The sequence below is a fragment of the Homo sapiens genome, chromosome 8 (assembly GCF_000001405.40).
Source record: "Homo sapiens chromosome 8, GRCh38.p14 Primary Assembly".
NCBI lineage: Eukaryota > Metazoa > Chordata > Mammalia > Primates > Hominidae > Homo > Homo sapiens.
The window spans coordinates 22,765,304-22,791,503 of record NC_000008.11 but is presented as its reverse complement, the minus strand read 5'-3'; the positions used below and the strand labels follow the sequence as shown (position 1 = coordinate 22,791,503).

Genomic DNA, 26,200 nt, shown 5'->3' with positions numbered 1-26,200 from the left:
CTCGGTAGTCGATCGCACCCTTGGAGAAGAGGATTCCAATAAAATAGAATTTGGATGGTGTCACAAATAAATTTGCCTTTCTAAAAGCTACCAAATTAAAATTTGAGAGAGGGTTGAGCATGAGGACAGGATGGCAATGAGCAGATATGAATTTGCTTTATTTGTACGGCTCAAAACTCCTCTCTCTACCATTTGCGGGTGAGGAAAGAAGACTGCAGGACCGGAGACAAGATGAGAAGCTCTGAGGCTGCTCCCTTCTCTGCTCCTCAGCCCGAGCTTCTCCAGGAGCCCACTAGATATGGCAGCCCCTTCCCCTTGCACCCCCAGAAGCCCGTGGAATCCAGTTCTTTCTGTGTGTGTCTGGGGTGGGGAGGTTGGTTGCCTGCGTGAAGAGGCAGCCCTTTAGGGCAATGGTGCAGCAACATTACCCAGCTTAGATCTCTATTCATCTGGTCTTCTGGCCTATCAAAGGGTAGTGGCTGACCACCCCCACCTCCCCTCAGAAATAAAGTAACTGCTGTCATATTGTTCCAGCATCTTAAGCCCTGGGGGGTCATCGTGTGTCCCAGTTACTCACAGAGCCCAGTGCCGCCTGCTAAAGACTGTATTTAAGGGTAATATAAACAGTTTGATCTTTAAAGTACCCTGGATGCATAATATCTATACATAGTTCTTGAATTTTTCTTCTAAAAACAATTAGCCAAAAAGCCCTTTTTATATGATATTTGCAACTACACTGACAGTAACAGCAATTAAACCCCGTCTGTTTGCTGAGAAAGGAGCCAACTCTTCATTTCTCCAGAAGCCTGTAAAATGTACAAATTCGGAACTAGAACACTGAGCCTTCAAAGGTAGCCACAAGACCCTTCAAGGTCAGGCCCCAGCCCAGCTTTTATTTCCCCCTCCACCCCACGTGATCCCATCATCCCAACCAGCCCCAGCAAGGCCGAGATATCCCTGGTGTTTTCTGCCCCTGCTAAGCTGTTGCCATGCTTAGGGGCCTTGTCTGGGATGTCTTCCTCTTCCGTGCCCCTCTTCCCCCACCGGTATGCCAAGGCACGGTTCAAATCCCACCGATGTAAGCAGGCTTCCTGGTCTACCTCAGCCATCAGGGCCCTCGTCATCCCTTGAATCCCTGTATCTACCCCCTCAGGAGGTGCTTCCACATGGCCTGAGGATAATTGGTTCTAAGGGTCTCTGCCCCCACTCTGGACTGTGACCTCCTTGAGGGCAAAACTGCACCTAGCTCTCTGCCTGCACATGTGATGAATAAATAAATGAGTGAATGAAGGAAGGAAGGAAGGAAAGAATCATCAAACAGCCCATGCAATGGTTGAAGGATGACAAAAGGAAGTTAACAGGCATATGAAATAAAGACCACAGCTCTGGTGCTGAGACTTAGAGAGGGTTGATGGGGAGGAGCAGGGAGATCTGCTAGCAGGCTATTCAGTGGCCCAGGAGAGGGATGACGGAGCGGCCATGGGGGTCAGCGGGCCATGGGGCCAGAGAAGAGGCATTGGACTCCCCATCCTGGAAGGCCAGGCCCAACACCCTCTCTCTTGCATCAGAAAGAGTGCTACAGAATTACCAAATCAACATGGACTACAGGGCATCTGCCCGTTGCACCTGTCCCCGAAGATGTTGAACTCGGTAAAAATGAAGTGCTGTCTTTGCATTGGAGGGTTAGCAGAGTGGGAGGCGGAGAGGAATTTTTTCTGGAGGAAGGAGAATCATGTCTGTCACAAAAGTGTTTGACAAGGTGAGCATCCATTTCTTAAGAAGACAGTGAAGCCTAGCTCTGGGCCACCCAGAGACTGATTTCCCTTTGGGGCACTGGATCAGCTCGCAAAGGACCCCCATGCTGCTGCAGACGTTGCCCCAGAGCTCTGCAGTGGGCCCAGGTACTTTCCTGTGGCCTAGAGCAGCTTTGAGCTGCATAGGTCTTCAGAGGCTGGGAGGAAGGGAGGAGCCCACAGCCCCACCTCAGGGGGCTTAGGAATAGAGTCACCTCTTAAGTATCAGCGGGGTCTCTCTGAGGGGTGGCAAACGTACCAGCATAAACTGAAGGTTGGACGACCCTAGTTTCAGGCTGGCACCCACCCCCATCTCTGACTAGTCACTGTCTAGACTTCCCTAGGAGCTTGAATTTCTTCGTCTCAAAAAAAGCGAGGTTGGGCCCGACGATCTCTAGGGGTGATTTCCGCTTCTAAAATTCTATAGTTTCAGAATTTCTCCGCTTCCTTGACTCACTGACAGCCTACTCTCCATCCTAATGACTTAAAAATTCCTGTGAACACACTTAGTGTATAACTGTCTTTCTGTTTCATTTTTTAGTTACAATATTCTAGATAATACTCTTCTTGCTTGCCAAGAAAAGAAAAAAAATGACATTAATTAAAGATTTGGTCTGTGTCCTAATCAAAAATTTTGAAAATGAATGTATCATACTGTACATTCTGCAATGTAGCCTGCTTTCTTACTTAGCAATATATCATTAACATTTTCCCATGTCAACACATAATCTTCTAAACCATGATTTTTAGTGCAGAAGTAGTTTACCATATGGATGTACTATAATTTACTCAGCCAATCCTCTACTATTGGACATTAGGTTGTATCTGCTTTTTTTTTATATTATCACCAACGCTACAATGAACAAAGTTGTGAATACACAACTCTTCATTCACCTCTGTGGTGACTTTCTGAGAATAAATTCTCAGAGGTCAAAGGTTTTGCATATTCAAAGGCTTTTTGGTACATGTTAACTAAAATGCCATCCAGAATTTAGAATTTCTATCAATGTAGAATCCTTGTATCAATTTAGAATTCATAGCATATGAATAACCATCAGGACAGTCATATTTTAGAGTTGAAAAGAGACCTAGCAAGGCTGTGGTCCAGCCTCTCCAGTTTACAGATGAGGAAACCGAGGCCCAGGATGGGACACGTGTAGGTATTTGTCCTGGGTACTCCTCGCAGTATGGGTGAGACTCTGAACACCGCCAGGACCCTGCTTGTGCCCCAGCCTGCCAACCTCGGTCCCCACTGCCATAACTCAGGGCTTCTAGGGCCTTCCCTCCCTGCGTCACCTCTCATGGGCCCTCATAGCCACACGGCTTCCGCCTAAGAGCAGGCTGCACTTGCCATTTCTCCCTCTTCTCTTCTCATTCGTCTTTCCCTGCTCCTTCTTTGTCCCCCTGGCAGCCACTTTCTGATGGAAACATGCAGTTCTTGTCCCAGGGGTTTCTCGGTGATAGTTAGAAGCCCTCTCCCATTTTGAAACCCCTTCATCTTTCAGCTACCTGGATCCCACTGCCACCTGCCCTTTTGGCCAGTCCTTCTCAACATCCTTCCCAGGTTCCCTCCCTCTACCTGGCTTCCTGCCTGCTGCTCCTGGTTCTCCCAGCATCCCCCTTCCCTTCATATGTTCCCAGGATGAGCCCGTGCATCCCTGAAGCCTCCAGCCACACCCACTTTTCCTCTGCCAGAGCTCCAAGCCTGTGGGCCCGTTGCACGCCTCCCCCTGCACGCTCTGTAGGCCCATCCACAACGCGTTATCAACGAAACGTAAACCCTTCCCTTCCCCAGCCCTCACCTCGACCCCTTCATCTGCCCAGATCTTCTTTTAAGGCTGAGCTGAAACATTTCACCCTTCACAGGGCCCTCCTGTGACCCAGCTTCTTTGGGGCAGAACTGAGCCCCCTCTCACCTAGGAAACTCCCACATTCCCCATCAGGGAACTTAGCACCGTCGCACAATTACTCATAGTCGTAGCCGTAGGAGTAGTAGTGGTGGTTTATTTCTCTGAATCCCCAACCAGACTCAAGTACTTGAGAGTAGAGGCCATGTTGAATTGGCCTTACCCCCAACAAGTGTTTGTTGACTGCGTAAGCAGTGGCAAAGAGGAGCAAGTATTAGCCTTAGAGGATAACTCCTCTTTTCTCTTTGCCATCACCAGCCAACTGAGAATCTGTACTAAGTCATTTCTGACTACAAGGAGAGGGTATGGGTGCCATGGGACAAAACTCGCCCATCAAAATGTTGGTATCCCCCTCCCCCGCCTCTGCCAATTTCCAGACCTTATGGAAGGAACGTTCTCAAGGCTAGCTCAGTTTGAGATTTTAAGACTCAGTGTAATTCTTGCCCTCTGACCTCTTCTCCAGAACAAACTCTTTATGCTAACCTGGCTGGTGTATCTAAAGGAAGACCCCAACTCTTCAACTCCACTCATTATATTTCATTCTTTTAGAAAAATACGACCCCTCTCCTCACCTGTGCAAATCCTACCACCCTCCAAGATAGTGTTCCTAGAGGAACCCACCCCTACAGACTCCTCTCCTGCCCAAACATCAGAATCCCCATTAGAAGGGACCAGCCCTTAGCTGGGCACAGTGGCTTACGCCTGTAATCCCAGCACTCTTGGGAAGCCGAGGCAGGAAGATTGCTTGAGCCCAGGAGTTCCAGACCAGCCTGGGCAACACAGAGAGACCCTGTCTCTACAAAAAAAATTTTTTAATAAGCCAGGAATGGTGATACACACCTGTGGTCCCACCTACTCAGGAGGCTGAAGTGGGAGGATCACTTGGGCCTTGGAGGTTGATGCTGCAGTGAGCCGTGATGATACCACTGCACTTCAGCCTGGGTGAAAGAGCAAGACCCTGTCTCAAAAAAAAAAAAAAGCGGTAGGGGGTGCAGCCCTGTTTCCTGCATAGGATTCCCTGGATATTGACAATCCCTCACTCCCTGGCATGGAGCTTTGTATGAAGTGTGCTCTGATGAACAACCTTTGATCACTCAGATGAAGATTTGATGACGTTAGGACTGAGGAGAAAGAGATGGCTTCCTTTTTGCTCCCCCAAGCTGCTGCCCTAGCAACTTTTTTTTAAAGCCACTAATAGACAGGGTTTCAAAATCCAGAGGGGCCAGGCATGGTGGCTCATGCCTGTAATCTCAGCACTTTGGGAGGCCGAGGTGGGAGCATTGCTTGAGGCTAGGAGCTCGAGACCAGCCTGGGCAACATGGCAAGGCCCCCGTCTCTTCAAAAACTAAAAAAAATTGCCGGACATGGTGGCGTGCAACTGTAGTCCCAGCTATTCAGGAGGCTGAGGCCAGAGAATTGCTTGAACCCAGGAGGTCAAGGCTGCAGTGAGCTATGGTCACACCACTGTACTCCAGCCTGGGAAGCAGAGCAAGACCCTGTCTCTTAAAAAACAAACAAACAAACAAACAAAAAAACAGAAATATACCTAGCCTATTACCAGAGGTCCCAACCAAGGAACACAAGCCCCAGAATACATAATGTATTAGAGTGTTCTTTCCTTAGTACCACTAATCCAGAGCCCCTCCAGAACAAACGGTTTAGTGTTTCTATTGCTGGGAGACAAAAAGCCGGATGAAGGGGATAGGAGGAAGGGAAAGACAGCCAGGATGTATTCAGTTTCTACTCCATGCTGGGCACTTTCTAAACATGCACTGTCTTATTTTATTCCCACTATAACACTGCGAAATAAGCACTGACCCTACTTGACGTTCGAGAAAGCTGTGGTTCAAAGAAGTGAATCCACCTATCCAGGGGTACAGAAGGTAGTAAGGAGCAGAGCTGAGATTTTAAACCTGCATTCTTTAGAGTAGCCCCGTTGTCTCCAGGAGGAAGAGCAGCAAAGCCCAGAAAATGCAGCTCCACGTTTGCCTGTCGGTCTGCTCTTTTCCTCCTCTATTCACAGTCATTGACAAGCTTCTCGATGCCAGACTGAGGTGGCCTCTCCGGGGACCTGGAGTGGTCGCTGTTGCTCCTGTTTTGAATGAGGACTCAGGCTCAGGGAGGATCTGTAACTTTCCCAGGCCATGTTGCTAGCAGGTGGCAGAGCCCATCTGACTCCTTCACACCCTGGATCACCCCTGCCTCCCTCTCTGGGCTTGTGTCTCAATCCTCCTCCCTCAGGGAGCAGGAGCAGGATCTGTGGCCAGGGAGCACATGGCGGATCTGTCCCAAGCCAGACCGCCGACCTCAATTTGCCTTTTAGAGCCTTACCCCATTCCAGAGATAGGGCGTCTCCGAGAGGACACATTGGAGGACATCTGGGGTCTCGAAATGGCCGTGGTTCTGTCCTGGGCACTCGGCAGGAAATGCAGAGGGGCACTTGGGCCAGATTCCCATAGGTGGCCCCAGGAGGACAGGAATTTAACTGAGGACACAGCAGCTCTCGATTCCGGTTCTAGTATCCTTGGTTGAAGACAGCTGAGGGCCAACGGCTTTTTTCCTCCAAAATAGAATTGTCAGGGCACCACATGCTGACCTTGCTCCTAGCTTCCCCTCATTTGCGGAAATGCAGAGAGAAGTTGCCGGGCCCCCGTGGGTCTGTGCTGAGCTGCCCTGTCGTCCCACTGCCACGGGAGCAGCATCTAGGCCTGGGAAAAGTGGGGACAGAGTGGGCGGCAAAGTGTTCTAGACACACTGGGATCTGAGGAGCAGGCCTGGACACAGCTCACATGCGCAAACCGTGCACACGTGGCCCGTTTCTGTTCCTTCACGCAAGCAGTGTCCCCAGCACCCGCAAAAGGTGACGCCCAGATGGATCCCAGAGCGTTCCTGACGGTCCCCCCTCCGGCTCGCTGCCTTTCTCCTGATGTCGCTGTTGACAGAGGGTTATGTAACCTCGAAGGAAGGGAGGCCTGGAGTTCTCCCCAAAGCGGCGAGTGAATCAGTTTTTGCTGCCGTCATTTTCTCAGCAGGAATCTGCTTTATGCAGATTGGATTTAGGGGTTTTTCCTGGATGCTTCTGTTTCATTTAACATGCAAGGGCTAATAACTTGTCACAATTCAATAAGGCGGTGGTTACAAACACCCGGGCGGCTGCTTATTTAAATGCAGGTTTGTTAATTAGCTTCTCCTAACAAGGCGTGCGCTAAATCAGGCTCCCGGCTCGCAGCACCCAAGCCTGGCACATCTCCCGGGACGGGAGGTCGGGAGGTTGGCTACAGGGTCACATCCAGTCACTGGCAGCAGGGCCAGAATTCAAGGCTAGGAGGCCTGTCTCAGCTACTCCATTGCCTCAGTTTCCTTCAAATCAAGGCATCAATGACAAATTGTAAAAGCAACTGCAAGATAACCACACTCTGTCCCTTCCCTTCCTTCCTTCTCTGGTTCTCGTTCTTGCCTTTGATTCCTGACCCCATCCCCCACTCCGAGTGTGCTGTGTGTTCTACGCAAGCCCCACCTCTTCCATGAAACCTTCATAGCTTCCTTCAACCCTGACACCCTCTCCACTTACATATCATCATCTACTCAGTTTGGTAGCAGGTTGCAGGGGTGCTGGTGACAGGGACAGAAGAAAACCAACAAAGATGGGGCACCTGCTGTGGGCCAGGGGCTGTCTCCATAATCCCCACAACAGCCTGCAGTCAGGTGTCCCCAGGCTCCTCCTACGTATGTGGACATTGAGGCCCAGAGAGGTTGCATGACCTTCCCAAGGTCAATGAGAGCCACTCTGGGGTTCAACCTCCTGCTATAACTCCAAAGCCAGTGATCTCTTCCCCTCCTGGTGGGCAGGAAGTGCTTGAAAACAGCATGTGTCGGCCAGACCAGCGTGGTGGCCCACTCCTGCAATTCCAGCACTTTGGGAAGCCAAGGCGGGGAGATCACTTGAGCTCAGGACCAGCCTGAGTAACGTGACAAAACTCCATCTCTACCAAAAATACAAAACATTAGCTGGGCATGGTGGCATATGTCTGCGGTCCCAGTTACTTGTGAGTCTGGGGCAGGAGGATGACTTGAGCATGGGAGGTTGGGTAACAGAGTAAGACTCCATCTCAAACAAAACAAAACAAAACAAAAACCAAAAACCACAGCATGTGTTAGGGAGGCATTATTCATTTCTGTCATCTTGAGGGTCGCTGCTGTGAGATCTCGCTGAAAACAATGACCCTAGTTGGATCCTAGCTGAATCCTGGAATCTGGTTCCACCCAGAGCCTCAGGCCTCTCACTGAGCACCTGGCCACCGCCATAAGAAAGCCACTGGGTACGCACAGGAGCAGCTGCGCCACTGCCTTTGGAGGGCGTCACCCCTACAGGGCAGTTCCAGGCACAAGCATCCAGTGAGGAAGTCGAGCCTTAAGCCAAAGGCAAGAGAAAGCTGGTCACACAGAAATCCCAGGAGGCGTTCATCCATAGACGTCTGCCATCCACATTAGACAGCCATGCCCATCCTTCCCCAGAGGGAACACAGAATGAAAACACAAAGAACATTGCTAAGCATCACTCCCTTATTCTCAAGAAAGGACTGAGAAAGGATCTAAATATAGAAACAAAATAAAAGGTTGGAATGGGGGAGACAGAGCCCTAAGAAGTCCTGGGTTGCCCCAACCCTCTCCCAGGGAAGTGCAAGACCTGGCCCATGTACCCCTACCCAAACCTCAGGAGCCCTACCCAGCCAGGTGTGCAGCTTCTGCATGGAGCAGGTGCCTGGCCAGTACCCTCTGGCTGAGATGGAACCTGCAGTTGCTGGCAGCTGGAACCTCCCGGGATTGCTGTTCCCTATTATGGGTCTGGGCAGGAAAGCTGAGGGAGCTAGTCGTCTTCCCTGTGACTCTGGCAGAAGCAAACGCCAGGAGTCCTGGGAGGTTGGTTACTCAGTTACCACTGAGGACACTAACCTCCAGGTGTGATGTGTATGTGGGCTGTCACTCTCAGGATACCCTAAAACGTGCTGCCTCCAAACCTGGGCCAGCTGCTGATAAAACGGTCCTTAACCTCCTGGAGGATCAGAGATGCCAATCAGATGAAAGTGGTCGGGCTCTCCCTAGGGAAATATACATGCAAACATATACAGAGGTATACAATTTTGCAATTTGTGGTCATTTGCAGACCCCTCGAAGACTATTCATGAGTCCTGGGTTAAGAACTCTTGCTTGAAGAAATCATTCTAAGCGATTTTTTTCTTAATTAGCACTCCCTGGTGCCCAGATGTGACTTTTTCTCTCTGTATGTGGTCCATTGACCTTCTAAAAATGTCAGTTCCCTGAAACTCTCTAATGGATGGGTCGGGTATTTTCATGCCCCCAAAGGCAGAGGTCTGGATCTGGTGGTTTCTCAAGGACTTGAACCATGCTTAGCACAGAGTAGGTGCTCGACAGTGTGTGTTGAATGAATGAGGGAGAGGTTCCCACGTGCTCTGTGAGTTTGCACTACTCTGTTTTTATAGCTCACATGATTGCTCTTAATTCATAGTTATCAAGCCCACTGGTAAGGCACCTTGTATCACTAAGATCAACATTGTGGCCTTTTAAAGGGGAGTGTATTAGGGCCCATCTGGTCTCTGTCCAGTGTTTCTGGCACCCAGCCCGAGAGACCTCTCCCCTACCCATGCTCATTCCCGTCTCAAGTCTCAGTTTCCCAAGCACTTGGACACCTCTGTCCAGTCAAGGCTGACACAAGCAATAGTGAGAAAGCCACAGAGTGACTGAAAGAACAAGACGGAATCCCAGATCCTCTCACCCACCATGGCTGCTGAGATTAAAGAGGGGGAACTGAGGTCAGCAGGTCCTGTTCCTGGGGAACGGTGGCAGAGTGGGTGGCTTCAGCCCCCCGGGTTACCTGGGCCTTGCTGAGAGAGGCCCAGCTCTGTCACCTGCAGAAGATGCCTGGTTGGCTCCCCCTCTTCCCCAGGGAGGAAGGGGGACAGGCTGCCATGTCCGAAGTCCAACATGGGCACCTCCAGCCGTGAGCTGGGGTCCCTGAGCCTGAGCCAAATTCAAAGACCAAACATGTGAGGGTCTGGGATTGGGGCAGAGGCCAGGCAAGGAGTCTGGTTTTCCCAGATGTCTTCGGGTGGCTGGGCCACATGACATAGCCAACTGAGGCAGGAGTGGCTGTGTGGGAGGCCTGGGTACAGGGGGAGGGAACTCCTACCCCCGCCCAGGCCTTGGATCATTTGAAAGGCAAATGTGCTGGGTTGCCTAGGGAACGGGAGAAAAGGGACTTCCCTAGCACCGGTGACTAGTAAGGGATGGAGACGGGAGCTGTGATGCTGAGAAAATTGTTTCCAAAAAAAAAGTAAAAAGCGGTGACTAAGCAGCCCTGGTTATGTAAAGCGATCCCTGAGGAAGTGTGGGGAAAAGCCTGGAGCCCACCCCCGTGTCCCTCCTCCCCACTCCCAGCCCCGGTGCCTGCTGCCTCGGGAGTTTCCACCAGCCCCTTCCCCCTCCGGCTCTCCCGGAACTCCCTACTCCTCCACAGGACTGCAAGGCGGGGCCGGCCCCAAGCAGGGCTTCCACTGCCAAGGGCATCCAAACGTGGTGGGCAGGACAGGGTACCAACAAGGAGATGCTGGGGCCTGTCCCCAAAGGTTCTGTCACCTCTGCTCTGAACAGGACACCTGAGGTCAGTCCAGCAGGGGGCAAAGGGTCATTTGCCATCCCACAATCAGGCGCCGTCCTCTTCAAAGACAAAGAGTTTCAGATCTGAACCCGGACGCTGCTGCTTGCTAACTGCGCTGTCTTCACAAGTTACGGAGTCTCTTTGAGCCAGTTTCCTCAGCTGGAGATGGGAGATAGTGTCTATCCCACAAGGCTGTTGGGGTGATTCACTAAGAAAGACAGGCTGTGTGCAGTTCAGGGCACAGGGCAACACGTGGGAGCACTCGGAGCACACTCGTTTCCTTTCCCCTTAGCCAGAAGCAACCCTAGAGACTTTCTCATCCTTTTACAGAAGGGAAGACCTAAGACTGAGCCTTAGACGCCCTCAGGATCGGAGGAGTCCAGCCATCACTTTAGTGCCCTCTGTCCACATCCTTCCAGCTGCTGAAGGTCCGCTGATCCGGACCCCTTTTCTTCCTGGTGGGTGTATGGCAGGGGAGTCAATGCCTTCAGGCCTTATAACTTCCATCGCAGGTTTTCTCCTAGCTTCCCAGGAGGCATCCTCTGGTGGGCAGCCCAGGGCACTGTGGAACCTCAAAGGATCCATACGAAGTCATAACCCACAAAACCTTCATCTGTAGTTCAGGCAGAAATGCAAATGTGCCTGGCTTCCCAGGGAGGTTCTCTCTACTGTGTGTGCTTAGGGAGGGGAGAGGACCTAGTAGGGTCCTGGACAAATGAACCTCAAGGTACGAGCTACTCCAAGCCTCAGAAAGCTATTGAAAAGGTCGAGAAACAACAGCCTTGGTCACCAGTGAAATTGACCCAGGCCTGGGTGAGAAAGGAATGTATAATTCCTCTCCTGCCTCAAGATTTTAAAAAGGGCCAGGCACGATGATGGTTCACACCTATCATTCCAGCACTTTGGGAGGCCAAGGTGGGCAGATTGCTTGAGCTTAGGAGTTTGAGACCAGCCTGAGCAACATGGTGAACACTATCTCTACAAAAAAATACAAAAATTAGCTGGATGTGATAGTGCGTGCCTGTGGTCCCAGCACCTGTGGTCCCAGCTACTTCAGGGGCTGAGGTGGGAGGATCACCTGAGCCAGAGAGGCAGAGGTTGCAGTGAGCCGTGATCGTGCCACTGCACTCCACCCTGGGCAACAGTGAGACCCTGTCTCAAAAAAAAAAAAAAGATTTTAAAAAAACAAGATGCCTGGGAATCCATGCTGCTTTTAACTTTCCCTGGCAAACTACTGAGCAGTTGTCCCCTCCAAAGCATTTGCATGTCCAAGCTAAGTCGCCCATGTGATGGTTTCTGCCCTGTTTCCTCCCATTTATTCTTGGAAAATAAAAATAGCCAATCACTTTCTATATGCATATATTCGAAGCCCTGCTGAGTGTCTCCTCTTCCAGACCTGACTTTCCTCACCCTTCCCAGTGCTAAACACAGTGCTAAGGGCACCATATCAGTGGTTCATAGATATTTGCCAAATGAATGAACATTCCCAGTGGAGACACCACCCAGCCTTCCAAAGGACTCTTCTTGTTGGTGGGACACAGAGTCGGGGGACCACGGCACCAGCCCAGCTCTCTCCCTGGGCTTTTCTGTCTCTCCATATAATGGGGGTGTGGGTGGGGACATTTGTGACCTGGGACCCAGATGCTCTGCTAAAGACCCTTAGAGCTCTTTGCCTGGCGACCTCCGTGACGCCATAAAAAACCCACTGGCCTTGGTGTGGGACCTCTCCCTTGACCACCTCCTAGCCTGGTGACCTTTGAGAAGTCACTTATTTCTCTGCAGCTCAGATTCTTTGTAAATTGAGGCCAATAACAGCCGTCTTAGGGTTGTGGGGAGCACCCGTGCCTGGTACATCAGAGGTTTTTGGAAAACAGGTGAATCCAAATATGGGTCACCTTGAACCCCACGAGGACTGGATCCTTCTATGGGGAGCCAGGGTCCCCATGGCCTTTCCTTCTCAGGATCCCAAACCCTCCTCTGGGCACCATCACACGCGCAGAGCTGGGAGCCAGCTGACTTGGTGAGGAAACCCCATCCCCCTCCTCCCCCACCTCCCCCGCCCACCTTCCCACCACCTACTCCCCAGGGCCTCTGATCAGTGCTGTGAGGATTAGTCACCGCCTCCCATGCAGCCCGTGCCCCCCACGCAGGCAGACAGGCTGAGTGCTTAATTGGAGTTCCTCACACCTCCGAGGACAGCCTCCGACAACATGACAGAGGAGCCCGCCCTGGTGGCAGCAGCCCCTGACTGTGCGGGGCACTAAAACTGGCTGAAGACTTTACTTACCCCGAAAAATCCCCCTTCAGATGGCCTCAGCAGAGCAAGGAGAGAAGGCCAGGGTAGGGCAAGAAGGAAGGCTGGGGAGCCATCCGGGAGCCCAGCAGCCACGAGACAGCATGCCCAGAACCTTCTCCCAGGAGGCTTTGCTGGGGAGCTCTCCACTCAGGCCTCTGCATCCCAGTCCACAGGGTGGCCCCAGGCCCGCTCCATCAGCAGAAGCCTCGTTCCCATCCCCGGATCACAGGCGAGGGAAACAGGGACAACAGGAAGGCAGGAAAAGCATCTTGGGTGGAGCAGTTGCTATCAGTGGGCGTACTTGGTGAGGGCCCAAGAAGGCCCAGGAGCCTGTCCAAGTTATCACTCGAACCCAAGAGGCGGAGGTTGCAGTGAGCTGAGACCATGCCACTGCACTCCAGCCGGGGCAACAAGAGCGAAACTCCATCTCAAAAAAAAAAAAAAAAGTTCAAGCTCTGTCTCCCCATAACTGCCTCTAAAGAGGACTAAGTGGGGCATCTTCCGGGCAACAGGATCCAGTCTCACATGGAAGCACATGGATCTGTCCACCGGGGGCAGTTGGGGACTTTGGGTCTGGGAGGAAGGAGGTCATTTGCTGCTTTACCTGTGCCGAGCCCAAGCAGAGAGGGGCGAGATGGACAATCACTGCAGAGCTCAGATAAGCTCAGGACAAGCAGTAGAGACAGGGGTAGATGGGCAACCAACTCCAGGGGTACAGGAGGCAGCCTCCCCCAAATTCCAGGGGCAACTAGAGACAGGAAGGGAACCGTGATGGCACTGCCCAGGAGGGCTTCTGCCTCGCGGGTCCCATCGTTGTGGGACTCTGTTTCCCCCTCTGTGCAGGGGCTGGTGGTGGGAAAAGCTGAGTGTGATGACGGCCCTGGGAAAGGAAAGAGGAGAGCGGAGGGGGGCTGTAACGAAGGAGCCAAGCTATAATTTCTCATTGAGGGCGCGGGGAAGCCAGAAAGTGAAAAGCAGCCTTCTCCCACACGCCCTCAGCCTCCCCAGCCTTGCATGTCTAATTGGATTCCCTCTGCCTCCTACAAGGTTATCCTTAGCGCCAGGAAAATACCTCATGGTCGGATTCTCTCCTCCTCCTCAAGAGGAAGGCTGGGGGCTTGGAGCAGTTCTGCCATTCATAACATTTCCCGGTGCCCCAGCCACCACCCCCGGCTCTGGGGCAACAGGAGTGCCGTGCAGGGCGAGTGAGAAGAGAACCCTGTATCCGATGGAGCTAGAGCAGGCTGGCAGCCAGGGGGTAAGTGTCCTGGCCACCTCAGGCTGTCACCAGGAGGTCCTGTCAATGTGGCCTCAGCTGAAGCCTGCTCATTTCCTTCAGGGCCTGCCTCTCCTCAGGTCTCAGGGCTGCGTTCCCCCCTCCCCACAGCCCCTCTTATGCTCTAGGCCAGGCCCACCCTGGGCTCCAGCCCAGGTCACTCTCACAGCTTAGAAGGGCCCCACCCAACAGCCTGTCCACTGTGGTCTTGTCCTCTCCATCCCAGAAAGTTCTCCTGGGGTAGCCACACCCTCCTCTTCCACACTGTAAATGTGAGAGATGATGCAGATGGAGGAAGTGAGGGGAGTGGAGGAGTAGAGGAGGGGGAACTCAGGGGGACCTGAGGGGAAGCAGAAGGAAAGAGGGAAATCGGGGAAAATGAGGAAGGGGCCAGCACCCTCCCTCCCTCATGAGCAGATCAGTGCTGAATGTCTTTCCCAGTTTCTCACTTGTATGCTCTGACCCACACCACCTGCTTCTCTGCACACTCACCTCCTTTGTAGCTCCCTCCCTCCGGACCTCAGCTGCTGTTTCTCTGCCCCAACCCACCATTCTGATCGGTGCCCTTCCCATGTCCCCACCCAAGCCTGCCCCCGTAGGACGCATCACATGCTGCCCTGGTTGTACCCCAATGCCATCCTTCAGGCCAGTCTGGCTAATGTTATGAGGCCATGTGCCAACCACCTCCCAGCTCCGCAGGCTTCACTTCAGCGCTGCTCTGAAGAGGAGGAGTCAGCTGGCATGGGATTCATTGACCAATATCTCGGATGCCCGATCAGAAAAAAATGGCTTACCAACCATTCTCCTTCTCCCATCCATATCAAGCCACTTAGCTCCTTAAGTCAACGAGTGATTATGTTTTAATCAGTTGGGGAATAGATGGTGAAAGTAGAGATGGGGAGGAATAAGTGTTTGCAGATAGGGAGAGAAACAGCATCAAGAAAAGATAAGCAAAAATGCAGAGAGGACTCGGCTGATGGAGAAACCCGTGGGAGGAGGATGTAAGAAGACAGAGTGGCAGCCGGAACGAAAGACCAGTGGTTTGAAGGCTGAGAGCAAGACCGATGGCGTAACCAGGAGGCCCACAGACCCTGCAACCATCAACACTGAGGTTCAAAGGTACTCACATGCCAGGCACCATGGAAAGCTCCCCCAAACCACATAATTTTACTGTTGAAAGACCAAATTTATCAGCGTCAACATACATTGGCCTCTGTGCCCTACAGAACTTTCATGTTTTCTGCCAAATCTCATCTATGAGTAAAAAGAGAAATGAAGAAAGGGGAAAGGGAAGGGTTTGCAATGGCTTCTGGAGACCCATGCACCCCCAAAAACCTTGGCATAATCTCTCTGCTAGGAAGGGTGTGAGCGCTGGCGTCAGCATTTCAGGATTCTGTTCTTCAAAGAAACCGCTGCCCCTCACGAGGCTTTCTAAGTATTACTTTGGTGCAGAGATGAAGAAGGGGAGGGTCCCAGTGGTCCCCAGGGCCCTGGAGAGGTAATGGTGCCTGCCCCAGGCAGCCCCTGCCACAGACCCACCTGCCTCTCTGGTGCACACAGACACCCCTCTGTGTGCATCTGCAACCCCCATTGTTCCAGGGGTGAGCCCAGACCACCCTGGCCATCCCTGGTAGGGACAGATGGCCCAGAGAAGCTCACTGCCGGCGCCTCCAGAACGGGAAACCCCCCCAAGAGCCAAGGAGTCGGGCAATCCTTCCTGCCCACTCAGAGATTCCGGAAGCCCTTCCAGCCTGGAGAACCCGCCTCCCCAACCTCTCTCTCGCTTCCTCTGTCTGTCTCCTCGAGCCTCCTGTGAGTGCACAGGAGGGCTGAGGGAAGCCCCGTGTGCCTGTGATGAACGGAGCTAATTTCTGGTTTGCTGGTATGCCGCAGAGACGCTGCCTCCGTCCCCCTCCTTCCCAGCAAACCCTCTCCCACACACAGACAAATAGGCTGCATATTTAATTGGAATTCCTCACACCTACAGGGTAAAGCCTTGTCAGTAGAAATAGAGCCCACAGCCAGCTGGCTTCCCCCATTCCACCCACCTTGTCTCTTAAAAAGAAATCCCCCCCCTCCATACGTGAACACCACCCACGGGCCCCTGCGCACCCCTCCCGGCATGGTTGTAAAGGAGGGATTGGTTGGCAAGGCCGCTCCTTGCCTGGGCCTCGACAGCTGGGCCCACCCAGCAGAGACCACCCGGAGGCTTCTCCCTGGCAGACGGGCCCTGACGGCCTTCCCATTGCCCACCTCAGGAACCCTCCTTGCCAGATGCTTGGGGCTTCCGGGTCCCTGAAAGATGCTGCTGAGAGAGGCAGCTTTCTCGGGTAGAAGGGGCCAGTTGATATGGAGAAGGAAGAGAGGGGAGCCCTAAAACCTAGAACATGACCTTAGAAGAGAACTTGGGGCCCGTCTCTTATGGTACAGGTGGGGAAACTGATGCCAGAGAGGCAACGGAAAATGTATCACATGGCTAACTTAATGCAGAGCTGCACTGAACCTGGGTCTCAGCTCCACAGATACCACTTTGCCCCTTGGCCTGTGGCATCTCTCCAGGATGGTGTCACCCAGGAGCTGGCAGGACCAAGGAAAGAGGGGCTCCTGGGGAAGAGCTGGGGAGAGACTGGAGGGCACGGGAGGACAGGGGACCTAAAAGGGATGAAACAGACCGAGAAGACCATGGGGGAAAGTCAGATTGGTTTCTTTCCATATGGCAACAGAAGGAAATCGGACAAGAGTCAGAGGCGCTGACAGACAAGAGGAGGCTGAACTCCTCAGGACAGCCTCGGGGATGGCCAGGACTCAGCAGCCTATCCTGGTGGGGACGGCTGGGCCAGAGCGGCTCCCTGTCTGCACCTCCAAAATGAGAGTCCCCGAAGCCTCATGTCATGACCTTGACATCTAGGGTCAGCAACTTCAGCTGGGTTTGCCAGGTGGAGGGGACTCGGCCCCTACCCCCCATCGGTGATTTTTCTCTTGCTGACTCCTCCCTGCGGGGCCTCCTTCCCTCTCTGGCTAAAATTGAGCCTGGCACAGGCTGGCGCCAAACCTGTGTGTCAGTGAGTAGACAGCTGCCTATGGGGCTCTGAAGAGTACTGTGACATCCTCCCTCTCCCCCACAAAATATCATCTCAGTTTGCCTGAAAGTTCACCATTAGTGACTCATTTCTTTGGGTTAAACATAGCCCTCCCTTCTTAAACGCAGCTGCTCTAGGAAAGGGTAACTCATTGAGTCCTTAACATCCTAGCGTGAATGGGGAGATGAGTGAGATGCAGAAGCCCAAAAGGAAGGGAGGAAGTGGAAGTAGAGAAAGAGACAAAGAAGAGGAAGGAAAGTGATTGAAAGGGAAGATGAGAGCAAAGAAAGGAGCAGCAAGAGGCAGATCCAGTTCAAGCCCTGGCCTCCTTCCTTCAGGAGCAGCATGCTGTGATCGACAGAGCACTTTCCTCCATCCTGGTTTGAACCTCACAGCTCTGTGAAACCAGCAGGAGGGAGGCTGTGGTGCCCGTTTTATAGTTGAAGAGACCTGAGTATCTCGGAGGTTGGAGGACTTGCCATCTAGCCTGTCAGTGGGACAGCCAGGGCTCTCTACCCTACCCCCTGTGTATAGCACCCGTTAAGGGGACTGCACGGAGTTCACCTTCTTCCCAACTCTCCCATCGTCCTCTGGTCAGAACAGGGAAGGTCCCTGGTAGAGGAACAAGATGGAAAAGGGTGGAGGAGGTAAAGCAAGGACCCCCACGGTTGGAACAGCAAGCAACCCTGCATCCTAAAGCCCCCGGCTGAGGCTCCCAAGGGAACAGAGGTGTGGCTAGAGGGCTCAGCCCCCACCCGCTCCCTAGTGACAAGCCTGATGCCAACATTGGGAACATCCCACAGGTCCTTCTGGCAGCAGCCTCCCTCCTGAGCACCCTCTCAGGGGCCAGGAAGGCCTGCGGATGACTTTGCTAGCTTCGGGTATGAGCAGGCAGCTGTTCTGTAGGGAGAGGGGTAGGCCAGCCCAGGAAAAGGCCCCCAGGAGACAGTGAGAGCCACAGGAAGAGACCCCAGGAGCCTGCTGAGAAATCCCACAGGCTTCCAGGCTCAGCTTCCCCATCCCCTCATCTCCCTGCCTCCCTCCCCGCCTTTCTTCCCTGGGGTCACGGGTCTCCTCCAGCTTTGTGCCCTGCAGGAAGTGGCCTGTCCACCATATTGAAACTGTCCCCTGTGTCTCCCTCTTAACGAGCCAGGTTAAATATGCTGTAATCAGAGTAATAATACACCTGGGCTGGTGCTTGAGCGAACTGCCTTTTGTGCTGCGATAGGACATTAATAGCAATTATTCTGCTTTGTAATTGGAGCTTTAAATACTAATTCAAACAGCCAGAGGAAAACCAATTAGTGCTAATTTATCTCTATGTGTTTTCCAGAGCTGGTGTCTGTCATACTGTGAAGAAATAGGTTGGTAATTAGTACAGTTGGGTGGTAGATAGAAGTAATTATCAGATTCTTTCATTTTTCTTTGGGGGTGGGGAAAGAGGGGTAGGGGGTGGGGAAGGCCAAGATGGGTTCTCTAAGTCTTTGTTCCTTTGAAGTTTAAAGAGAGGGCCCCTGTTAGCTATGAGAGCCCAGCTCACAGCAGCCAAGACTGTGCAGGTATTTCTGAGGCAGGTGGGTTCTGGTGGAGGCTGCCTTGAAGGCCTTCACAAGGACCTTCCAGCTAAGAGGCTCACAGAAGTAAGGCCAGCAATGTCATGGGAAGCAGAATCTTCCTATTTGTCTAAGAAAAGGTCTGTGGGCCTCAGATAGCTGACCTTCAGGTAGAGGAGACAGTAGGGCCTGGGTCCCAGACCAGCCTCTCAGTTCATAGCTCTGTGGCCTGCGCAGAGGCACTGAATCTCTCTGACTGCTGGTTTCCTCATTTGGAAAATGTACATAAGAATACCTACTTTGGGAGGCCAAGACAGGAGGATCAACTGAGGCCAGGAGTTGGATGCCGCAATGAGCTACAATCACAGCATTTTACTCCAGCCTGGATGACAGAGCAAGACCCTGTCTCAAAAAAAAAAAAAAAAAAAAGAGAGAGAGAGAGAGAATACCTGCCCTGCCCCACAAGGTTGTTGTGAGGATTTAATTAAATAAAATAAGGTATATAATGGGCATGGAACCCAGGAATAATTAGTATGAGTTACTGAGTGCTTACAGTTTGCCTGGGACTCTTCTAGATGCCTTTGCATATGCAGAATTATCTCAGCCCAAAGTCTTGACGCACCATGTCCAATTATTTCCCTGCTCCCTCTCCTGCCCAGACCTCTCACCAGCTAGACAACCCTGGAGAAGTTACTTAATTGCATTAAGCCTTGGTTTTCTCATCTATGTAATAGGGGTAACAACAGTACCTTCTTTGTAGATTTATTGTGAAGGGTTAAGTGAGACAATGATTACAAAGGGTCTTATCACAGTGATGCAGGGCAGATGAACCCTAAGGTGGGGCTTAGCCTGTGAGGGTTCTTGGCTTCACCCTGGAAAGACTTCAAGGGTGAACCAGTGGTAGAGCAGAAGAAAACAGCTTTATTGAAGCGGCAGTGTTAAAACTCTGACAGCATTATAGCTTCATGACTGCTCCTGCAGAGCAGGGCTACCCCATAGGCACTGTGCTGAGAGTAGCAGCTCAGGGCAATTTTGCAGTCATATTTATACCTATTTTAATTACACATAGATTAAGGGGCAGTTCGTACAGAAGTTTCTAGGGAAAGGGTGGTAACTTTTGGGTGGCCAGGCCATTGCCATGGAAAGGGGCAGTAACGCCCAGGTGTTGCCATGGCAATGGTAAACTGACATAGCATGCTGGTGGGCATGTCTTATGGAAAGCAGCTTCCACCCCATCCCTGTTTTAGCTAGTCCTCAATTTGGTCCAGTGTCTGCGCCCTGCCTCTGGAGTCAAGTCTCACCTTCTACCTGAATGGTGCCAAGCACGGAGTCAGAGTTCCATCCAATGATTGCTTAGTGTTGTCAATATTATTATTATTTCATCACATATGGTTTTGTTATAATCTATACAAATTTTCTTTTTTTTTCTTTTTTGAGATGGACTCTCACTCCGTCACCCAGGCTGGAGTGCAATGGCACGATCTCAGCTCGCTGCAACCTCCACCTCCTGGGTTCGAGTGATTCTCCTGCCTCTGCCTCCCAAGTAGCTGCGACTACAGGCATGCGCCACCATGTCGGACTAATTTTTGTATTTTTAGTAGAAACAGGGTTTCACCATGTTGGCTAGGCTGGTCTCGAACTCTTGACTTCAAGTGATCCACCCACCTCGGCCTCCCAAAGTGCTCAGTGGTGTGAGCCACTGTGCCCAGCCAACAAATTCTCTGTTGAAGAAGGTATATATGGTACTGTCAATGCATTGTGTTAACTAACCTGCAGGTATTTATCAAATGCCTGGTAGGTGTTCAGTCCTGTGGGGGTCAGCTTACACTATTCAGTGTGACTAGCACACCCTAAACAAAGGTGATGGGATGCTCATGGCATTTCACCAAGCATCACGGTTTACAAAATGCTTTCACATATCTGATTTCAATGCCTTCTCACGAGTGAGTGAGTTGAGAAGTAACTTCAATCCCATTTTATGGGTGGGCAAATGAGGCTTGGAAAATTTAGGTGACTTGCTCAAGAAAGTGGTAGCATCAGAAGCTAAGCCAAGATTTTTTTTTACTGCAAAACCTGTGAAGGTATTCAATAAATACATGTTGAGCGGATGCGTGGATACGTGTGCTTTCCGTTAAACCACACAGCCTGAACTGCTAATGTGAAGATGATGCTTCTCTGCCTGAGGAGCAGGGCTGATCAAGGAGAGGTGGGATGGAGGCACAGAAATATTCAGAGGACAAATGGAACAACTTCCCTCAGCCTGGGCAGGGTGTCTTCAAGAGCTGAATGAGCAGGCGACATTGAAAAATCACACAGTCACAATGAATAACCTGGAGGAAGATCTGGCCAGCGCAGGCCCTCTCCCATTCACCCCAGACCCCAACCCACCCAGAGATTCACTCAGGGGACCTGCCTGGACCCCTGGGCTGGGCCTCCAAGGATGCGCAGTGGGAGGGTAGGGAGAGAGAGGACAGGATGCAGCTTCGGCCAAGGCCAGAGGGGCATCGAACACACAGCATTTGAGAAGCAGGGACTAGGCTGGCCTGGCATTGAGGGAGGATAGGTGCTTTGGAAGGGGGACTGCGATTGATAAGGGAGGGTAAGGGAGGCTTTGGCAACCATATGGCAGAGAGCAGGTTTCACCAGGGCCACCTCCCACAGCTGTTGACTGCTCCTTGCTGTCTGCCCACCAAGCCACTGACCCAGTCCCAGAGCTTCCTCTGCCCCAAGGAAGAGGAGCCTTCTTTCTCATTCACACAAAGGTGCCCGCCATAGACCTGGTACCCTGTGGGCTTCCACCCAGAGGGGCGCCTGCTTCCTAGGGGCTGATGGCTGCCTAGGATTTGACGTGTAGGAAACTGAAGCATTTCGAAGGCAGAGTTTGAGAAGGTTAGCGTGGCATAGGCGGCGGGGTGGACAAGAGGAGAGAGTCAGGGGCCCTGAGGGCAGCAGAGTGGCAGGAATAGGGAGTCACAAAACAAAGAGGAGATGCAGGTTCCTGAGCACAGGCCGGGACTGACTTGTGTGTCTCAAAATAATGACTGCAGCAATGGCGGGAGGAAGGATGACGGCTTTCTTTTCTTTTTTCTCTTTGGTTATTGGTATTTTCTAAATTTTCTACACTGAGCATATTTCTCTTTCATACGAAGAAAAACAATGGAATTTATTTTTTTAAAAAAAGAAGGGACATATGCTGGCGACATTTTGAAGGAAGAGCTGACAGAATTTGAAAAGTGACTGGGGAAGGGTGATAAAGGAGAAAGAGGCTGGGTGATGGGGAGATGACAGAGAAGAGGCATTCGGGTGGGGAGGCGGGGCCTGGGGAAAGGCCCTGTTCTATTCCTCTCTAGGCTGCAGGCAAGACATGGGAGAGCATCCACGCAGCAGGAAAGGAAGGGTCTCAGAAAGGAAACTGAGGCACACAGCAGGGAAGGTCTTTGCTTATTCACCAGGTTGTGGGGCAGCTTAGGGTTAAGAACGGAACTCAGAATATCTTTACCGAAAGGCTGCATCCAGAGCCACTGAGACAGGACCAAGCATAATAATGGGGCCCTCCCTCTCTGGAGGAGCCTTCAAAACAGAGACTCTGAGATAAGCCCCAGAGGGCTGGAGTCTCAGGTAGCCTCCTGGCCTGTAAACTTGGGCTGCATGGTTGGCGCCAAGAGTATGGGCCTGAGGGAGGCAGGAACCCAGGAGCAACCTCAATGGCGTGCCCAGGGAGCGTGAGGCTGAGGGGGCACTGAGGGGCACTGAGGCCAAGCTGGCTGAGAGCTCCCAGGGGTCTCATGTCACTGATGGTGGCAACGTGAGGGTAGAGAGGGAAGGAGATCGTCCCTGGGGGACACAGGAGCTGCTTCTCACATCAAAAGGATCCACCTGGACCTTAGTTTCCAGCAGACCCCCACTTCCCAAATGTCCACAAATGCTCTCAGCTCCCAGAAACCCACTCTGCCCAGCTCCTAGTGTGACTGAGTTCTGCAGAGGCCTGACATGTGGCAGAGCCCCGGAGACGACTGTCCCAGGCCACACAAACACCAGGATAGGAACGGGCGGTTCCTTCGGCCTCTAGAACCTTCTGCCTCGTATCTGCCGGTGACACAGCCAAGGGTGGGTCTCCGGAGGCTGCAAATGGAATACTGCCTCCTGATAGCACCATCCGCGGGCCAACAAAAAGCCCGCCCCCACTCCTCTCCCCATCCTGCCCTGACCCACCCCCTACCTCCTTGCCACCCTCCCCAGCACCCAGCTGGCCTCCCTGAACCATTGCCTCAAAAGGCTCCGTATTGACTGGGCCGAGGCCCCACCCGAGGCTGCGTCACTGTTTCCTTGGCAACCGAAGGGCTGGGTGAAAACTAACATACAAAGCAAACAAAATGAGCTCCGCACCGGAGGCCCGGGAACTGTCACCTCAGCACCGTGGGGCCTTGGATTGGCAGGGGATGGGGGGTCTGCTTGGCTTTGTTCACTGAGGCTGTCGTGGGGGGCTCGCGTGAGCACCCCAAACCACCCCAGGCAATAAATGCTTCACAACACATACTGGTAGCACCCATGCTCTTACTGTGCTAGGGGCTGTGTGGCCAGGAAAAATAAGACATCCAAAGAGGGTCCTGTCTCTGCAAGCACTGGCACTAATAAGGCTGAGATGTCAGCCCCAAAGAGGCATCTACCAGGGGGCAGAGGGACACAAGAAGTGTTCGTGGGCAGTCACTTCAGGGGAAACAGCCTGCTAGGGACCCCAGTGCTCCCAGACTCCTGCATTAATGCCAACACCCCACTGTCTTTGCCCAAGACCCTAGGGCATTTAGGGAATTTCCAACAGGCACCATAGGAAAACCCTTTATAGGTGTTTGCCTGGAATTCCAAGGTACTTTTCAAAAAAACATTTATAGGCCGGGCACAGTGGCTCACGCCTGTAATCCCAGCACTTTGGGAGGCCGGGGTGGGCGGATCACCTGAGGTCAAGAGTTCGAGACCAGCCTGGCCTGGAGAAACCCCATCTCTATTAAAAATACAAAAATTAGCTGGGCATAGTGGCAGCGCCTGTAATCCCAGATACTCAGGAGGCTGAGGCGGGAGAATCACTTGAAACTGGGAGACGGAGGTTGCAGTGAGCCGAGCCCAGCGTGGGCAACAGAGCCAAACTCCATCTCAAAAAAGAAAAAACTATGTAGTTACAAGTACATACATCAAGTACATAGGTCTTAAGCATACAATTTAATGGTTATTTACCCAAGTAACCACCACCGAGATCAAGATAGCAAATATTTCCAACACCCCAAGAGTCTCCCACACACCTCCTCCCCATCCATATACCCCCGGCAAGGTGAGATTATTTGGACTCTTATCACTGTCAATCAGGCGTATTCTTGAGCGTCATGTAAATGCAATCATAGTATTCTATCGTAGGAATCACCTGTGTTGTTGCAGAAAGCAGTGGTTCCTGCTCACTCTTCTTTCCCGCTCGAGAAATCACGGAGGAATGACAGCGGACGTGACAACATTATAGGGATAACCCTGAATTCCCTCTGATTTACAAACAAAAAATTGGTGGGGGGGATTATTCAAAAACCACAGCACTTTATTTTTGGCAGCATTTGCTTGTGATACATCTCACAACTGCTGGTCCCACACCAGCGTGTCACAGCTTTGAGGCTGAGAACTGCTAGTCTAAGTGGTATGATTTGGGAAGTAAAGGAAGGTCATTTCCTGCCCCCAAAATATCTTTACCCCACTGCTTCCCACCGGAGCTTCGCTCTAGTCAATTTATTGTGCTGTATGAAGCAGCCCCAGGGTCATCTTTTAAAATGCAAGTACTCCTGAGAAGGGAGAATCTGTTAGATCCGGAACACCCCTTCGTATGGCTTAAAGAGGAACCGGAAGCAGGTCTCACCCAGGCACTTCTGCAGCACACTCTAGACCCCCACGGTGAAGTAAGGAGGATGGTATTGTCAGCCCCCACTTTGTCCATGAGGAAACTGAGGCATGGGGAGGTCCCATAACTCACCTAAGGCCACATGGCTGTTAGCTTGCAGAAGCAATCATTCAAACCCAGCTTAGTCGGCTTCCTCCAAGGCCTGTGCTGTGACCCACCTGGGTGGACAGGAAGTACTGAGCATTTGGAAGCAAGGAGTGCAGGGAGAAGCCATGCTGAGAAAAGTGACACCAGGGCATGCAGTAAAGTGTTAGAGAAAGAAAGAACCATCTTCATATTGGATTCCATTCCCCCAACCGCCGCCCCGGGTGCTGCTGCCCCTGATACGCCAGCATGCCCTCCACTGGCTCCCACAGCTCCATTTTTGGTTACCCCCACAGCAATGTGCAGGGATGTGTCACAGGCACCAGGTCGCATCATCGCAGAGATGTGGTGCACAGGTGTTCCTGTCCCTGAAGGGCCAGCTTCCTGATACACCTCTTGGGCTGTGGAAGAATGCCCCTTCAGAAATTTCATACCATGCAGCTTATGTGCATTATTTCAGTCTGAGGAAAGGATCTCCTTTTGCAAATGAGAAAGCCAGTGCACAGAGGGTTATGTTATCGCCAAGGGGCTGCCAGCTCCGTGAGGTCAGAGGCCATCTATGAACTGGTCATCACCCAAAGCCAGCTTCTTCCACTTTGTTTGGCATTTCCCAGATGCCTGTGACCTGTCGGTGGGCTTTCACCATCCACAGTCCCACAGGCATGAATGGCCGGGTCTACCCGACCCTGAAGCACACATCCTCCACACCACATCCTCTCACCTGATGGCCTCACCGTGACAAGACTGGCCAAGACTGTGGCGTGAGGGTGAGGAAGGGAGACACAGGCTTGGAAGGAAGAGGAAGTGTTTAGGGAGTCCATCAAGTTAGGCCAAGGAGCTGGCTGCCTGTGTCTACTGGTGTGAGGCAAGAGCTCTTCCTCGAAAATAGCATCCTCACTGCCCAGATTCCACTGTGACATGTTTCCTCGCTTGGTCTTAAACACTGTGGTGATCCACAGGTGGTGATCCATGAATGGTGGTGATCCACAGGTGGTGATCCATGAATGGTGGTGATCCACAGGTGGTGATCCATGAATGGTGGTGATCCACAGGTGGTGATCCATGAATGGTGGTGATCCACAGGTGGTGATCCATGAATGGTGGTGATCCACAGGTGGTGATCCATGAATGGTGGTGATCTCTCTCTGTGGAGAGAGCCCACCCGCAGCGTGGAGCGAATATCTGTTTAGGTGCTTAGAACCTATACACACACTCACATGCACGGACATACACAGTATGTTATCCTGGAGTAGAAGAGGACTCTTGTGGACAGGGTTTTATCAGGAGAATGAGAAAGTTGAATTTGTTTTCTATTATGCTAGCTTTGGCAGCATCACTGATGGGAAGGATGAGAGAACAGAGGCAGGGGGTCCCTCCCAGGTGGTTACAGTCATCCAGGCATGGGCTCATGAGGGACAATGTTTGTCCCTAAGAGAAGGTGTTTCTAAGAAACTGAGGACCTGGGCTGGGTGCAGCAGCTCACGCCTATAATCCCAGCACTTTGGGAGGCCAAGGCGGGCAGATCACTTGAGGTCAGGAGTTCGAGACCAGCCTGGCCAATATGGTGAAACCCCATCTCTACTAAAAATACAAAAATTAGCTG

The 26,200-nt window shown here is 52.1% G+C and overlaps 1 protein-coding gene across 2 annotated transcripts in view, besides 5 other annotated features; it reads left to right on the top strand.

The window, feature by feature from the left end:
* The window catches only part of PEBP4 (phosphatidylethanolamine binding protein 4), a 227,827-nt gene that overhangs the window by 149,574 nt on the left and 52,053 nt on the right, over positions 1-26,200 (top strand). The gene's annotated exons all lie outside the window — the stretch shown is intronic.
* Positions 5,833-6,518: an enhancer, noted in NCBI's record as "H3K4me1 hESC enhancer chr8:22642499-22643184 (GRCh37/hg19 assembly coordinates)". NCBI's record gives its function as "activates a minimal SCP1, AML or CMV promoter by ChIP-STARR-seq in primed H9 embryonic stem cells {active_cell/tissue: H9 hESC(primed)}" and the evidence as "EXISTENCE:reporter gene assay evidence [ECO:0000049][PMID:30033119]".
* Positions 7,206-7,892: an enhancer, noted in NCBI's record as "H3K4me1 hESC enhancer chr8:22641125-22641811 (GRCh37/hg19 assembly coordinates)". NCBI's record gives its function as "activates a minimal SCP1, AML or CMV promoter by ChIP-STARR-seq in primed H9 embryonic stem cells {active_cell/tissue: H9 hESC(primed)}" and the evidence as "EXISTENCE:reporter gene assay evidence [ECO:0000049][PMID:30033119]".
* Positions 7,893-8,579: an enhancer, noted in NCBI's record as "H3K4me1 hESC enhancer chr8:22640438-22641124 (GRCh37/hg19 assembly coordinates)". NCBI's record gives its function as "activates a minimal SCP1, AML or CMV promoter by ChIP-STARR-seq in primed H9 embryonic stem cells {active_cell/tissue: H9 hESC(primed)}" and the evidence as "EXISTENCE:reporter gene assay evidence [ECO:0000049][PMID:30033119]".
* Positions 13,372-13,872: an enhancer, noted in NCBI's record as "H3K4me1 hESC enhancer chr8:22635145-22635645 (GRCh37/hg19 assembly coordinates)". NCBI's record gives its function as "activates a minimal SCP1, AML or CMV promoter by ChIP-STARR-seq in naive H9 embryonic stem cells {active_cell/tissue: H9 hESC(naive)}" and the evidence as "EXISTENCE:reporter gene assay evidence [ECO:0000049][PMID:30033119]".
* Positions 13,873-14,373: an enhancer, noted in NCBI's record as "H3K4me1 hESC enhancer chr8:22634644-22635144 (GRCh37/hg19 assembly coordinates)". NCBI's record gives its function as "activates a minimal SCP1, AML or CMV promoter by ChIP-STARR-seq in naive H9 embryonic stem cells {active_cell/tissue: H9 hESC(naive)}" and the evidence as "EXISTENCE:reporter gene assay evidence [ECO:0000049][PMID:30033119]".